Source organism: Homo sapiens, chromosome 9, assembly GCF_000001405.40.
Source record: "Homo sapiens chromosome 9, GRCh38.p14 Primary Assembly".
Lineage (NCBI taxonomy): Eukaryota > Metazoa > Chordata > Mammalia > Primates > Hominidae > Homo > Homo sapiens.
This window is the reverse complement of record NC_000009.12, coordinates 17,149,674-17,166,470: the sequence shown is the minus strand read 5'-3', so window position 1 is coordinate 17,166,470 and position 16,797 is coordinate 17,149,674. Positions and strand designations below refer to the sequence as shown.

Below are 16,797 nucleotides of genomic sequence, written 5' to 3'. Positions count from 1 at the left end.
TTTGAAAATTTTCTTGAATTACTTCCTTTAAAATGTCCATTTTTCTCTGTTCTCTGCTACTGAAATTCCTATTAATGACTGTTATAGCACCTATATTGATTCTTATTCTTTTCCTTTTGCTCCTATTTACTACTCCTTTGTCTCTGTTATAATCTTTGGAATATTTATTCAACCTCGTCTTCTAGCCCCTCTAGTTAATTTTTTATTTTGACAATCATTTATTGTTATATTTATTTAATTTCCAAGTACTCTTTCTCTTTTTTTGTCACCTGTTCATGTTTCACATCCACCAAATTTTCCCTTACATGTCTTACAATATTAATCATAGGAGTTTTTTCCTTTGTTTTATTCAGCATATCTCTGTCTTCTCTGAACTCCATTTTTCTGTTACTTCTGGTTTCTTATCCTTCATATTAAAAGTTTTACTCAAATGTCTTATGATCATTTGTTTCACATTCATATTTAAGAATGAGGAACTAAAAATGATGTTGGATAGTTTTACTTGACCTAGGATGGGGGTGGAGGGCTTGCCCAAAGGTCTCTATAGTTAACAGTGTGGGGGAAGTGTCATTTTGTTAGGACCTGTCAGTGTGTCTCTGTTGTTTCTCTAGGGATGCTTAGTTTCTCCAGAGAAGAATTATTTTGTCTTATGACTGGATAGATCAGGACTCTGCTTCCAGCAACTCTGAGGCTGAATAATTCAGTTAGTGTCCCACTGTTCAGTAGAATAGGCATTCACTTATTCCCCCAGTTTTCATAATAGCTAATCCTGTACCTTGATATGCCTGAGGTCCCTAAGTCCAGAAGATACTTATTTCAATTTTTCAAGGAAATAAACTTCCTGCCTCCTGCCTTAATGAGAGGAGGACCAGAGAGTCTACATGCTCCTTATATAGACTTTAATTCAATTTTCCCATTTTGTAGCCTCATCCTTCACTCCAACCATCACAGATTACTGATGTAACCTATTACTAGAAATTTCTACATTCTATGTATTTCAACTTTCCCCATTCTGCTAAGTCAGTTACCACTTATCAATTCACCTTACATCATTCTAGAATTTACTAACATCTGTCATCCACTGTCACCTTTTCTCTACTTCTCTTTAGGTGCTTCTACACTTTTAAAACTCTACTAGTCATTTTAGTGGGATTTGGGGAGGAGGTAAAGATAAATACTTATGCTTAACCCATCACATTTAACCTAAATTCCTACTGTCATAGTTTCAAATTTTCACTTCACATGAAAAAAAATGTGGTATTCTCTCAATACATGGGATCAAAGGTTGAAATTAATTATTTTAAGAAAAGTCACTTAGGAAAATGTTCTAAGAGGCCGGGCGCAATGGGTCACGCCTGTAATCCCAGCACTTTGGGAGGCCAAGGAGGATGGATCACGAGGTCAGGAGTTCAAGACCAGCCTGGCCAACATGGTGAAACCCCATCTCTACTAAAAATACAAAAAAAAATTAGCCGGGCATCATGGCAGGCACCTGTAATACCAGCTACTTGGGAGGCTGAGGCAGGAGAATCACTTGAACTCGGGTGGCAGAGGTCGCAGTGAGCCAAGATTGCACCACTGCACTTGAGCCTGGGCGACAGAGTGAGACTCTGTCTCAAAAAAAAAAAAAAAGAAAGAAAGAAAAAAAAAGAAAAATGTTCTAAGAATCTGGACTTTTATTCTAGTAGAGAGGTTAAAGTCTTACATAAAAATAAGGAGTTCTTGGCTGGGCACAGTGGCTCACACCAGTAATCCCAGCACTTTGGGAGGCTAAGGCAGGCAGATCACCTGAGGTCAGGAATTCGAGACGAGCCTGGCCAACATAGTGAAACCCTGTCTCTACAAAAAATACAAAAATTAGCTGGCTGTTGTGGAGCACGCCTGTAATCCCAGCTACTCGGGAGGCCGAACCAGGGAGGCAGAGGTCACAGTGAGCCGAGGTAGCGTCACTCCACTCCAGCCTGGGCAACAAAGCTAGACTCCACCTCAAAAAAAAAAAAAAAAAAAAAAAAACATAAAAATAAGGAGTTCTATAGATTTGATGTTAAATCCGGACTTGGTCTTATACATATTCGATTAAAGCTAACAAATGGTTTTTTTTTTTTTTTGAAAGAATGAAAGATCATTTCAATAGATCAACTTTTTTTTTTTTTTTTTTTGAGACAGAGTCTCACTCTGCTGCCCAGGCTGGAGTGCAGTCAGGCAATCTTGGCTCACTGCAACCTCTGCCTTTCGGGTTCAAGTGATTCTCCTGCCTCAGCCTCCTGAGGAGCTAGGATTACAGGCACGCGACACCATGCCAGTTTAATTTTTGTATTTTTAGTAGAGATGGGTTTTCGCCATGTTGGACAGGCTGGTCTTGAACTCCTGGCCTCAAGTGATCCGCCGGCCTCAGCCTTCCAAAGTTCTGGGATTACAGGGGTGAGCCACTGCTTCTGGCCATTTTTTTTTTCAGGCAGAGTCTTGCTCTGTTGCCCAGGCTGGAGTGCAGTGGCATGAATTCAGCTCACTGCAACCTACACTTCCTGGGCTCAAGCTATCCTCCCACCTCAGCCTCCCAAGTAGCTGAAACTATAGATGTGCACCACCACACCCAACTAATTTTTGTAGAGACAGGGTTTCACTGTGTTGGCCAGGCTGGTCTTGAACTCCTGAGCTCAAGCAATCCACATGCCTCAGCCGCCCAAAGTGCTGGGATTACAGGCATGAGTCACTGTGCCCAGCCAGATCAATGTTTTTCAATATGCAAATACACTTATTTATTCTTATCTTCAAGATACTAGTTTCCACTACCTTGTATTATAATATCATGCATTTGCTTGTTCAGTTATTCATTCATTTATTCAGTGCCTTTGTGCCAGCGACTGTAATAAGCACTGTGGAAAATATGCACAATATGGTCCTCCCACTGTTCAATGGAAAAGGCAACAAACTGACACACAGAAATAATTACAATGAAATATAAATGCTGTTAAATCAATATTCAAGAGATTACTGAATAAGCAGAATCTATCTATGCATGATTTGCCAATGATATCTAATGAATCACAAAAACACAGTATCAACTTGTACTTTGTTATACTCTTATTTCTAGAAAAATTTCTAAAAATGGGGGGAAGAGCATAATTATCATAACAATAAAACAATGCATTAGTAGATTCATATATCATCTAATATGGTTTGGCTGTGTCCCCACCCAAATCTCATCTTGAATTGCAGCTCCCATAATCCCCACATGTGGTGGGAGGGACCCAGCTGGGGGGTAACTCAATCACAGGGAGGAATCTTAGCCCCTCAACCCCATTCTTATGATAGTGAACAAGTCTCACAAGACCTGATGGTTTTATAAAAGCGAGTTCCACTGTACATGCTCTTTTGTCTACCACAATGTAAGATGTGACTTTGCTCCTCGTTCACCTTCTGCCATGACTGTGAGGTCTCCCAAGCCATGTGGAATTGTGAATCAATTACACCTCTTTTCCTTTATAAATTACCCAGTCTCAGGTACATCTTTATTAGCAGTGTGAGAACAGACTAATACCTCATCAAAACCAGAAGTCTGCCTAAAAATACAGTTAACATCCTCCAATCTAATTCCAAATCAGTAATTAATGTGAGAAGTCACTCCATCCATTGAAACCAAAATGAAAAAGAGCTTCACCCTGCCCAGTTAGAAATGTTTCTATTGACTGACTTTATGGTAACTGTTCTACGCCCCATAGTCTGTGCACTCTCCTGCCCACCAAACCACTTCCCTCCCTCCATCCTCAGGTGCAATAAAAGTAAAGCAAATGCAACAACTCAAGGAAACATCCAGATGGAAAAATAATTAATTATACCACCTATATGTTTAATGAGGTCCTCAAGAGCATTTGGTGATTCCCTGAAGACCACTATTCCAGTTCTCTTCATACTGTATTCTCTTCTACCAACAAAGCTTAGTGTATCTCTAGTGAAGGTAGTGTGTAACAAAGTATAGGAACTTAAGGCAATGCTATTCAAAATGCAGGACTGTGAATTGGTTGTTACTAGTTGGCCATAAAAGAAAGCAAGACGAGGCTGGGTGCGGTGGCTCACGCCTGTAATCCCAGCACTTTGGGAGGCCGAGGCGGGCAGATCATGAGGTCAGGAGATGGAGACCACCCTGCCTAACACAGTGAGACCCTGTCTCTACTAAAAATACAAAAAATTAGCTGGGCACGGTGGTGGGTGTCTGTAGTCCCAGTTACTCAGGAGGCTGAGGCAGGAGAATGGCGTGAACACGGCAGGTGGAGCTTGCAGTGAGCTGAGATCGCGCCACTGCACTCCAGCCTCAGTGACAGAGCGAGACTCTGTCTCAAAAAAAAAAGAAAAAAGAAATAAAGAAAGACAAGTATCAAAGCTTTCTCAGTGAAGAGGGCACGAGGTTGCTATACATTCTGGCACATTCTCCTTACTAGCACAGGTCTTCAGACAGACCATACTGAGATCACTGCCCTAAGACAAATAGATGTCAAATAACTATTGATGGAAAAGAAAAAACAGAAAGTAACACAAAAAAGATTAACCATAGAAGCAAATGTAATGAAAAAAAAAGGACTGGAGGAAACAGATTAATAGCTCAACTCTGGATGGATCTGCAGCAGCAAAGAAACACAGTAATTCACTTCCTGAGATTATTTGTAACAGTAGGTGGATTACAAGCTGCAGTACCTAGAGTTACACAAAATGCAGGACAGCACATTGTTGGATAAGTCTACAAAATTATTCACAATATAATTTTAGCAGGCAAATAATAGCAGTTGTTCTTGCTTTACTCCAAACTCAAAGTTCTTTATGGAAAAAATAACGTATTACTAATACTAATTTTTAAAGCCAGGATGAAATTTGTGTCTAAGGCAAAGATACTGGAGTTTGGCACACATTTGTAGTTATTCAAAGAAAAGTTGAACAATTCAAGCTCTTATGGCTCCTAATGTATTTATATTTCTATGAAACTCCATGTTACTGTTTCTTCAATGTTTATTACTCCTGCTTCCTGAGATTATGTTTCCTTATGCATTTAAAGACAAAATACAGTGGTTGTACTCTTATGATACCAATAATCTAAAGTGAGAGTTTATATATAATAGCAAGGAAATTAGATTTGTAGAGCTAATAAACAAATGATATATTCAAAATGTCCTTTTTCCAGTAGTAATTTATAACAAACTCATAAAGTGACAGGTAAACTTAAATATCTACATATCATAGAAAATAATATTTTCTACAAATTTATAAGAATAAAATCATACTATAAAAATATTTTCTAGTATGATATTATTCTACTAAGGAAATCAAAATTTGACTTTCAACAACATAAACTTCTAATTACTTAGAATTAGTGAGAGTGAGAACTTTTTTAACTTTTTCCAGAGATCAAATAATTACATTAATATGAATATCATTATAGTATTTATCAAATTCTTATTATAAATTGTCTCTTTCTACAAATGTCTTTCCTATTAGAGAGTATTCTTTAATAGCTAAATGCAGAGCTATCTCTTTCTCTAACTTTTTCAGAGGGTCTGACAATCAAATGACATTCAATTGATACCTGATGAATGGGTAAATGTGGTGGAAATATCTGTTTTAATGATGGCCATGCATGTCTAAATCTCACAGTCAGGTTACTTTGCAACATGAGGTATCCTCTAGGCATCCAAGCTTAAAGGTTACATTTTTCCTCCAGATATTCATTAAGAAAGTCCTAGAATTTTCATTGGCTACCTTTAACTTGAATTTTACAAATTATTTTCTTTGGTGGCTTATATCTTCCTTTGTCTCAAAGTAAAGATGTAAAACAGAACTGATATTTGGAAAAGAAATCAATAAGATGTTCAGAGCTGAGCTACTGAGAACCAAGATAGAGGATTTGAAAGTTAAGGACACAGAGGAATTACTAAATTTGAGTGACACTGCAAAAGAGGAAGTGACTGAACTTGGGCATTGATTTTCTGTTCAAAGAGTCCAAAAGGTATCAAAGATTACCCTCAAGATGTGAAATTTAAAGAAAGGGAAGAAAATGTCATGCCTGTGATAGTGAGAAAGTTAGGTAGTAAAATAACTAAAAGAAGAAGCCAATAAGTTCTTTACATAATATAGTGAGTTTGAAGGGCACCATAGGACATGAATTAGACATGGCACGACAATGGATATACAAAGATATATAAAAGAAAAATCCCATAGAAAACGATATAAAATGGCCCTTAGAGTTCACTTACAAATAATAAGAGAAATGCAAGTGAAAACTACTTCAGGATATCATTTTTTACATTTCAGATAAAAAAATTAAAAAGTTTAAAAACAATATGATGGCCAGGAATGTAGAAAAAATAAGCACCTTCTTATATTTTCTGGTGGAAGTGTAAGTTGGTACAACTTCTAAAGTCAGTGAATTCACAATCTCTATCACAATTGCCATTGTATCTTTTGATCCAGTATTTATCTATTGAAGTATAACAAATTACCCCAAAATTGAGCAGTTTTAAAACAACAAACATTGAGAGATGATGATTGAAGAGCTCTCCTGACCCACTCTCCAGTGAAACTGGTGAAAATTATTAACAATCACCTAAAGCCTCTAAAAATGGTCCTAAGATCAAACAGCAAATGAAGAAACATCTATCCAAGAAAATCTATCAATCAGTATGAAAGGCAATGTTTGTGGTATCTAAACCAAAACCACTGCCTCCTTCCACCTTTCCAGCTCAACACGGTGTAGTCTCCATTCCAGACAGCTGCAGCCAAGAACACAGGGCTCCCTCTTCCTCCTGTTCCCAGTTGGAGGGTTTTCTTCCCGGGAAGAACAGGATATCAGCAATTCTCATCCTGTCCCCAGCTAACTGCTGCTGAGGCTAAGTCCAACGCAAGTGCAATTGAGCAGTGGGTACTCCTTTCTTCTGTCCAGCTCCAAATTATGGAATATAGGCTCTACTTTGGGTGCAGCATATTGAGACCCCAGCTTGTGATGCACGGGTGTCATGCCAGGAGAGGCAAGCCAAGAGAACCTTAGGCTGCTGCCTCCCTTCCACTAAGCAATCAGCTCCTAGAGTTGGGGGGTCACTCAAAGAGAAGCATAATATTGTTCACATCCTCAGCTCCAGAGGCCTGACTCAGAGACTTTGCTTGAAAGGAAAAGCAGTATGTAAAACAAGGCCTAATCTCTTTCCAAAGAAACTGACTTTATTTGCAACACAGTGTAGAGAAGTTCAAGCTTAGAAGTTCTAGTCAGGATAGACCATATGCTTGGCCATAAAACAAATGTCAAAAAATTTTAATGCAATGGAACAAAATTGGAAATCAGAATCAAAATTGGAAAACTGAGAAGCTCACAAATAAGTGGAAATTAAACAACACACTTCTAAATAAGCAACAGGTCAAAGAGGACATCACTCTGAGATTAGCGAAAATAAAAACAAAATATAACAACTTACGAAATGCAGCTAAAGCAGTGCTAAGATGGAAGGATATAACTATAAATGCCTATATCAAGGAAGTGGAAAAGTCTCAAGTCAATAAAAATAAAAGCAAACTAAACCTAAAGCAAGCAGAATGAAGGAAATAATAAAAATTAGTGGAGAAATTAATACAATAGAGAAAAGAAAAACAGAAGAGAAAGAACAATACAGCCAAAAGCTGGTTCTTCAAAAAGATCAACAAAATTGACAAACCTTTAGCTAGACTGATCATGATAAAGAGAAGCCTAAAATTACGAGAATCAGAAATAAAAGGGGGGGATATTACCAATCTTTAAAAAACTATAAAAATGTAAGGAATACTATGAACAACTATACCCAGCAAATTAGATAACCTAGAAGAAATGTGAAAATTCTTAGACACAAACTACCAAAACTGACTCAAGAAAAAATAGAAAATCTGAATCAACCTATAACAAGCAAAGAAAATGAACTCATAACTATAAAATTACCCACAAAGAAAAGCCTAGACCTGAATGGATTTACTACTGAATTCTACCAAATATTTAAAAAAGAATTAATACCAATTCTTCAAAAATTCTTCATAAAATTTAAGGAAACACTTCCCAAATCATTTTACAAGGCTATTATCCTCATATAAAAAGCAAAGACATTACAAGAAAAGAAAACTATAGTACCTCTTATAAATAGGTATGTAAAAGTCCTCAGCAACATACCAGCAAGCCAAATTCGGGAACATATAAAAAAATTATATACCATGACCAAGAATTTATCCTACAGATGCAAGGTTGAGTTAACATATGAAAATCAATTTATGTACTACATCACATCAATAGAATACAAAACAAAAATCACATGATCATCTCAATAGACAGAAAAGATACAGGTTGGGTATCCCTTATCTGACATGGTTGGGATCAGAAGTGTTTCAAATTTTGGATTTCAGAATATTTTCATATACATAAATGAGCTATCTTGGCAATGGGAACCAAGCCTAAACACAAAATTGATTTCTGTTTAACATATATCTTACATACATAGCCTGAAGGTAGTTTTAATTAATATTTTTTAATGATTTTGTGCTTAAAACAATGTTTGTGAACACTGATCCCTCAGAAAGCAAAGGTGTCACTATCTCAGCTACCCATGTGGACAACCTGTGGTTGCTTTGCATCACTATCCTTCCTGAATCTAAATTTATGCACTACTGATAAGCGATCATTTTCTTATACTTATTCACAAATAAGTACTAAGTAAAAAATATGACATACATGTCTGGCATGCTTGGCAAAGACATATTATCATAGCAGAGAGCAAATTCAACTTTCCTCAGCCTTCATGTTCTATTCAGGCCTCAAATGACCGGATGATGGCCACCAACATTGGAGAGGGCAGTCTGCTTTACTCAGTTCATCAATTCAAACGCTAATCTCTTCCAGAAGCACTGTCACAAACACATCCAAAACTAACGTTAATCCAAATATCTGGGCATCTGATGGCCCAGTCAAATTGATAATTAAAATTAACTTTCACATTGAGGAAATGCTCTTTTCTCTTCTTTCTTCCTCTTACCCCACCCCCTTTCTCTACCTTCACCTTGCTTCAACCTTCTCATTCTTCAGACATCTTCTCACTCAGGAAAGCACAAGAAATTTTAGTAAAAAGTAATGGTATTAGCAAAGGATAATCCTGAAACCTCTCTAATGGAAAAAGATAAATCATTACTAATATTTGGTACGTATTGATTGTTATCAGCAAATATATTATGCTATGGTTTTGAAACATGGTAAGTCATGACACTATGACTGAAGAATGGGGATTCAGGCCAAATGGTATCAGAAAAAGAGTCTTCTCAAAACATGCTGGCTGAAGTTGCTCAATGAACAACACTAACACTCAACCAAGACCCCAATGTGTTTTGCTGCATTCTCCTTCCGTTCTTTATTTTCTATCGAGGAGACAGTAGACAGTGTTATCACTAACATTATTTGTTGTGGCGTCCACTTCAGCCTCCAGTATCTTTCTACATAGTGTGATATCAATTCTACATAATTACAAATTTAAATACAACTTTGTACCTAGCAACATTAATTGCTACTTTACACAATTACATTGCTTCCCAAAGGATTAAGTCCATAGGCTAGCTAATATAGAGTGCTTTCAATTCTATTTTATTATTTCAATTATAAATCATTCTGAATATAACTTTTATATGCAATGGGAAACTAAAAAATTTGTGTGACTTGCTTTATTGTAATATTTGCTTTATTGCAATATTTGCTTTATTGCAGTGGTCTGGAACTGAACCTGTAAAATCTCCACAGTAAGCCTTGTAAATAGTAACATCTAAAAAGATTATTTTTGCCAAAATATCAAAAATGAATCTGAATAAGATCCTATTTATGGCAACTATAGGGTACAGAGTACTACAATAAGTCAGATTTGGGGAAACTCTACAGAATAAATAACCCAATTTATTCCAAAAATAAATTGCAAGGAAAAAAAGAGTAAGAGAAAGATGGAAGAGGAAAAAAATGAACCTATATATTCAGCAGGTAGACTATCCATGTTTGATCCTCCTAGGAACAAACCAACCTTTTTTAAAAAAGGTATTAGACAATCCGAGAAATGTGAAAACGGACTAGATATTTAATTATAATAGAGAATAATTATAGAATTCAAAGCATGATGATGATACGATGGTTCTGTTAAAACACCCCTTATCTTTTAGAGATAGTCCTTATTCATGGATTCAGAATTTGTAAACTGGCCTACTCAATACAATTTATTTGTTAACACGAAACTCAATAATTGTGGCACTACTGAGATTCAAGATGGCCGAAAGGGAACAGCACTGGTCTGCAGCTCAGCAAGATCAACAGAGAAGGTGAGTGATTTCTGCATTTCCAACTGAAGTACCCGGTTCATCTCATTGGGACTCGCTGAACAGTGGGTGCAGCCCACAGAGGGCTAGCCGAAGCAGGGTGGGGCACCGCCTCACCTGGAAGCACAAGGGGTGGGGGAATTTTCTCCCCTACCTAAGGGAAGCCATGAAGGACTGAGTCTGAGGAACTCCAGCACAGATACTGTGCTTGTCCCACGGTCTTTACATCCCGCAAACCAGGAGATTCCCTCCAGTGCCTACCCCACCAGGGCCCTGGGTTTCAAGCACAAAACTGGGCAGCCAATTGGGCAGACACCGAACTAGCTGCAGGAGCTTTTTTTTTTTCCATACCCTACTGGCGCCCAGAACACAAGCCAGAGAGAAGCCATGAAGCCAAGTGGTCTGGCTCAGCAGGTCCCACCCCCACTGAGCCCAAGAAACCAAGATCTACTGGCTTTAAATTCTGGCTGCCAGCACAGCAGCAATCTGAGATCCACCTGGGACAGTCAAGGTTGGTGGGGGAAGGGCGTCCGCCATTGCTGAGGCTTGAGTAGGCAGTTTCACGGCCACAGTGTAAACAAAGCTGCTGGGAAGTTCGAACTGGGCAGAGCCCACTGCAGCTCAGCAAAACTGCTGTGGCCAGACTGCCAGATTGCTCCTCTCTGGAAAGGGCATCTCTATAAAAAAGGCAGCAGCCCCAGTCAGGGGCTTATAGCAGACTTAAACATCCCTGTCTGACAGCTCTAAAGAGAGCAGCGGACCTCCCAGCACAGCATTCCAGGTCTGCTAAGGGTCAGTCTGCCTCCTCAAATGGGTCCCTGACTCCCATGTATACTGACTAGGAGATACTGTGTCCGGAATTGGTTCCTTCTAGTGGGTTCTTGGTCTCGCTGACTTCACGAATGAAGCTGCGGACCCTCGCGGTGAGTGTTACAGTTCTTAAAGATGGTGTGTCCAGAGTTTGTTCCTTCAGATGTTCAGATGTGTCCAGAGTTTCTTCCTTCCAGTGGGTTCGTGGTCTTGCTGACTTCAGGAGTGAAGCCGCAGACCTTTGCAGTGAGTATTACAGCTCTTAAAGGTGGCGCATCCAGAGTCGTCTGTTCCTCCCAGTGGTTCGTGGTCTTGCTGACTTCAGGAGTGAAGCCGTAGACCTTCGCAGTGAGTGTTACAGCTCACAAAGGTAGTGCGGACCCAAAGAGTGAGCAGCAGCAAGATTTATTGTGAAGAGCAAAAGAACACAGCTTCCACAGTATGGAAAGGGACCTGAGCAGGTTGCCCCTGCTGGCTCAGATGGCCAGCTTTTATTCCCTTATTTGGCCCCGCCCACGTCCTGATAATTAGTCCATTTTACAGAGCGCTGATTGGTCCATTTTACAGAGTGCTGACTGGTCCGTTTTTACAGAGTGCTGATTGGTGCATTTACAAACCTTTAGCTAGACACAGAGCACTGATTGGTGTGTTTACAATCCTTTAGCTAGACAGAGAAGTTCTCCAAGTCCCCACCCAACCCAGAAGCCCAGCTGGCTTCACCTGTCAATATCTCCCAGTTGGGGCCAACAGACACCTCATACAGGAGAGTTCTGGCTGGCATCTGGCAGGTGCCCCACTGGGTCGAAGCTTCCAGAGGAAAGAACAGGCAGCAATCTTTGCTGCTCTGCAGCCTCTACTGCTGATACCCAAGCAAACAGGGTCAGGAGTGGACCTCCAGCAAACTCCAACACACCTGCAGAAGAGGGGCCTGACTGTCAGAAGGAAAAGAAACAAACAGAAAGGATTAGCACATCCACTCAAAGACCCCATCCAAAGGTTACCAACATCAAAGATCAAAGAAAGATAAATCCACAAAGATGGGGAAAAAACAGTGCAAAAAGGCTGAAAATTCTAAAAACCACAATACCTCTCCTCTTCCAAAGGATGACAACTCCTCGCCAGCAAGGGAACAAAGCTGGACAGAGAATGAGTTTGACGAACTGACAGAAGTAGGCTTCAGAAGGTGGGTAATAACAAACAACTCTGAGCTAAAGGACCATGTTCTAAACTAATGCAAGGAAGCTAAGAACCTTGAAAAAGAGTCAGTCAAATGGCTAACTAGAATAACCAATGTAGAGAAGAACATAAAAGACCTGACAGAGCTGAAAAACACAGCATGAGAACTTTGCGAAGACTACACAAGTATCAATAGCCGAATCGATCAAGCGGAAGAAAAGATATCATTGATTGAAGATCCACTTAATGAAATAAACAGAGAAGACAAGATTAGAGAAAAAAGAATAAAAAGGAAAAACAAAGCCTCCAAGAAATATGGGACTATGTGAAAAGACCAAGTCTACATTTGATTGGTGTACCTGAAAGTGACGGAGAGAATGGAACCGAGTTGGAAAACACTCTTCAGGATATTATCCAGGAGAACTTCTCCAACCTAGCAAGACAGGACAACATTCAAATTCAGGAAATAGAGAGAATGCCACAAAGATACTCCTTGAGAAGAGCAACCCCAAGACACATAATCATCAGATTCACCAAGGTTGAAATGAAAGAAAAAATGTTAAGGGCAGTAAGAAAGATTGGGTTACCCGCAAAGGGAAGCCCATCAGACTAACAGCAGATCTCTCTCTGGAGAAACCCTACAAGCCAGAAGAGAGTTAAGGCCAATATTCAATGTTCTTAAAGAAAACAATTTTCAAACCAGAATTTCATATCCATCCAAAATAAGCTTCATAAGCGAATGAGAAATAAAGTCCTTTACAGACAAGCAAATGCTGAGGGATTTTTGTCACCACCAGACCTGCCTTACAAGAGCTTCTGAAAGAAGCACTACACATGGAAAGGAACAACTGGTATCGGCCACTGCAAAAACATACCAAATTGTAAAGAACATTGACACTATGAAGAAACTGCATTAACTAATGGGCAAAACAACCAGCTAACATCATGACAGGATCAAATTCACATATAAAAATATTAACCTTAAATGTAAACGGGCTAAGTGCCCCAATTAAAAGACACAGACTGCCAAATTGGATAAAGAGTCAAGACCCATCAGTGTGCTGTATTCAGGAGAACCATCTCATGTGCAAAGACACACATAGGCTCAAAATACAGGGATGGAAGAATATTTACCAAGCAAATGGAAAGCAAAAAAAAGCAGGAGTTGCAATCCTAATCTCTGATAAAACAGATCTTAAACCAACAAAGATCAAAAGAGACAAAGAAGGGTATTACATGATGGTAAAGGGATCAATGCAGCAAGAGTGAACTATCCTAAATATATATGCACCCAATATGGGAACACCCAGATTCATAAAACAAGTTCTTAGACACCTACAAAGAGAATTAGACTCCCACACAATAATAGTGGGTGAGTTTGACACCCCACTGTCAATATCAGACAGATCAATGAAACAGAAAATTAACAAGGATATTCAGGAGTTGAACTCAGCTCTGGACCAGGGGGACCTAATAGACATCTACAGAACTCTCTACCCCAAATCAACAGAATATACATTCTTCTCAGCACCACATCACATTTATTCTAAAATTGACCATATAATTGCAAGTAAAACACTACTCAGCAAATGCAAAAGAACAGAAATCAAAATAAACAGTCTCTCAGACCACAGTGCAACCAAATTAGAACTCAGGATTAAGAAACTCACTCAACACTGCACAAATACATGGAAACCGAACAACCTGCTCCTGAATGACTACTGGGTAAATAACGAAATGAAGGCAGAAATAAAGATATTCTTTGACACCAATGAGAACAAAGAGACAACATACCCGAATCTCTGGGACACAGCTAAAGCAGTGTTTAGGGGGAATTTATAGTACTAAATGCCCACAAGACAAAGCAGGAAAGATCTAAAATTGACACCCTAACATCACAATTAAAAGGACTAGAGAAGCAACAGCAAACAAATTCAAAAGCTAGCAGAAGACAAGAAATAACTAAGATCAGAGCAAAACTGAAGGAAATAGAGACACAAAAAACCCTTCAAAAACTCAGTGAATGCAGGAGCTGGTTTTTTGAAAACATCAACAAAACAGATAGACTGCTAGCCAGACTAATAAAGGAGAAAAGCAAGAAGAATCAAATAGATGCCATAAAAAATGATATAGGGGATATCACCACTGATCCCAAAGAAATACAGACTACCATCAGAGAATACTATAAACACCTCTACGCAAATAAACTAGAAAATCTAGAAAAAATGGATAAATTCCTGGACACATACACCCTCCCAATTCCAAGACAGGAAGAAATCGAATCCTGGAATAGACCAATAACAAGTTCTGAAATTGAGACAGTAATTAACAGCCTACCAACCAAAAAAAGTCAAGGACTAGATGGATTCACAGCCGAATTCTACCAGAGGTACAAAGAGGAGCTGGTACCATTCCTTCTGAAACTATTCCAAACAACAGAAAAAGAGGGACTCCTCCCTAACTCATTTTATGAGGCCAGCATCATCCTGATACCAAAACCTGGCAGAGACACAACAAAAAAAGAAAATTTCAGGCCAATATCCCTGATGAACATCAATGCGAAAATCCTCAATAAAATAGTGGCAAACCAAATCCAGCAGCACATCAAAAAGCTTATCCACCATGATGAAGTTGGCTTCATCCCTGGGATGCAAGGCTGGTTCAACATATGCAAATCAATAAATGTAATCACATAAACAGAACCATCACATAAACAGAACCAATGACAAAAACCACACGATTATCTCAATAGATGCAGAAAAGGCCTTCAATAAAATTCAACACCTATTCATGCCAAAAACTCTCAATAAACTAGGTATCAATGGGACATATTTCAAAATAATAAGAGCTATTTATGAGAAATCCATAGCCAATACCATACTGATAGGGCAAAAACTCAAAGCATTCCCTTCGAAAACCAGCATAAGACAAGGATGCCCTCTCTCACCACTCCTATTCAACATAATATTGGAAGTTCTGGCCAGGGCAATCAGGCAAGAGAAAGCAATAAAGGGTATCCAAATAGGAAGAGAGGAAGTCAATTTGTCTCTGTTTGCAGATGACATGATTGTACATTTAGAAAACCCCATGGTCTCAGCCCAAATCCTCCTTAAGCTGATAAGCAACTTCAGCAAAGTCTCAGGATACAAAATCAATGTGCGAAAATCACAAGCATTCCTATACACCAATAACAGACAAACAGCCAAACCATGAGTGAACTCCCATTCACAACTGCTACTAAGAGAATAAAATACCTAGGAATACAACTTACAAAGGATGTGAAGGACCTGTTCAAGGAGAACTACAAACCACTGCTCAAGGAAGTAAGAGAGGACACAAACAAATGGAAAAAAATTCCATGCTCACGGATAGGAAGAATCAATATCGTGAAAATGGCCATACTGCCCAAAGTAATTTATAGATTCAATGCTGTCCCCATCAAGCTACCACTGACTTTCTTCACAGAATTGGAAAAAACTACTTTAAAGTTCATATGGAACCAAAAAAGAGCCCGCATAGCCAAGACACTCCTGGGCAAGAAGGACAAAGCTGGAGGCATCATGCTACCTGACTTCAAACTACACTTCAAGGCTACAGTAACCAAAACAGCATGTACTGGTACCAAAACAGATATATAGACCAATGGAACAGAATGGAGGCCTCAGAAATAACACCACACAGCTACAACCATCTGATCTTTGACAAACCTGACACACACAAGCAATGGGGAAAAGATTCCCTATTTAATAAATGGTGTTGGGAAAACTGGCTAGCCATATGCAGACAACTGAAACTGGACCCCTCACTTACACCTTTTACAAAAATAAACTCAAGATGGATCAAAGACTTAAACGTAAGACCTAGGACCATAAAAATCTTAGAAGAAAACCTGGGCAATACCATTCAGGACATATGCATGGGCAAAGACTTCATGTCCAAAACACCAAAAGCAATGGCAACAAAAGCCAAAAGAGACAAATGGGATCTAATTAAACTAAAGAGCTTCTGCACAGCAAAAGAAACTATCATCAGAGTGAACAGGCAACCTATAGAATGGGAGAAAATTTTTGCAATCTATCCATCTGACAGAGGGCTAATATCCAGAATCTACAAAGAACTTAAACAAATCTACCAGAAAAAAAAAGTTCCATCAAAAAATTGGCAAAGGATATGAACAGACACTTCTCACAAGAAAACATTTATGCAGCCAACAGACATATGAAAAAATGCTCATCATCACTGGTCATTAGAGAAATGCAAATCAAAACCACAACGAGATACCATCTCACGCCAGTTAGAATTGTGATCATTAAAAAGTCAGGAAACAGGCCAGGTGCAGTGGCTCATGCCTGTAATCCCAGCGCTTTGGGAGGCCAAGGCGGGCAGATCACAAGATCAGGAGATCGAGACCATCCTGGCTAACATGGTGAAACCCCGTCTCTACTAAAAATACAAAAAATTAGCCAGGCA

General features: G+C 39.0%; 1 protein-coding gene across 18 annotated transcripts in view; it reads right to left on the bottom strand.

The window, feature by feature from the left end:
- The window catches only part of CNTLN (centlein), a 393,595-nt gene that overhangs the window by 362,164 nt on the left and 14,634 nt on the right, over nt 1-16,797 (bottom strand). The gene's annotated exons all lie outside the window — the stretch shown is intronic.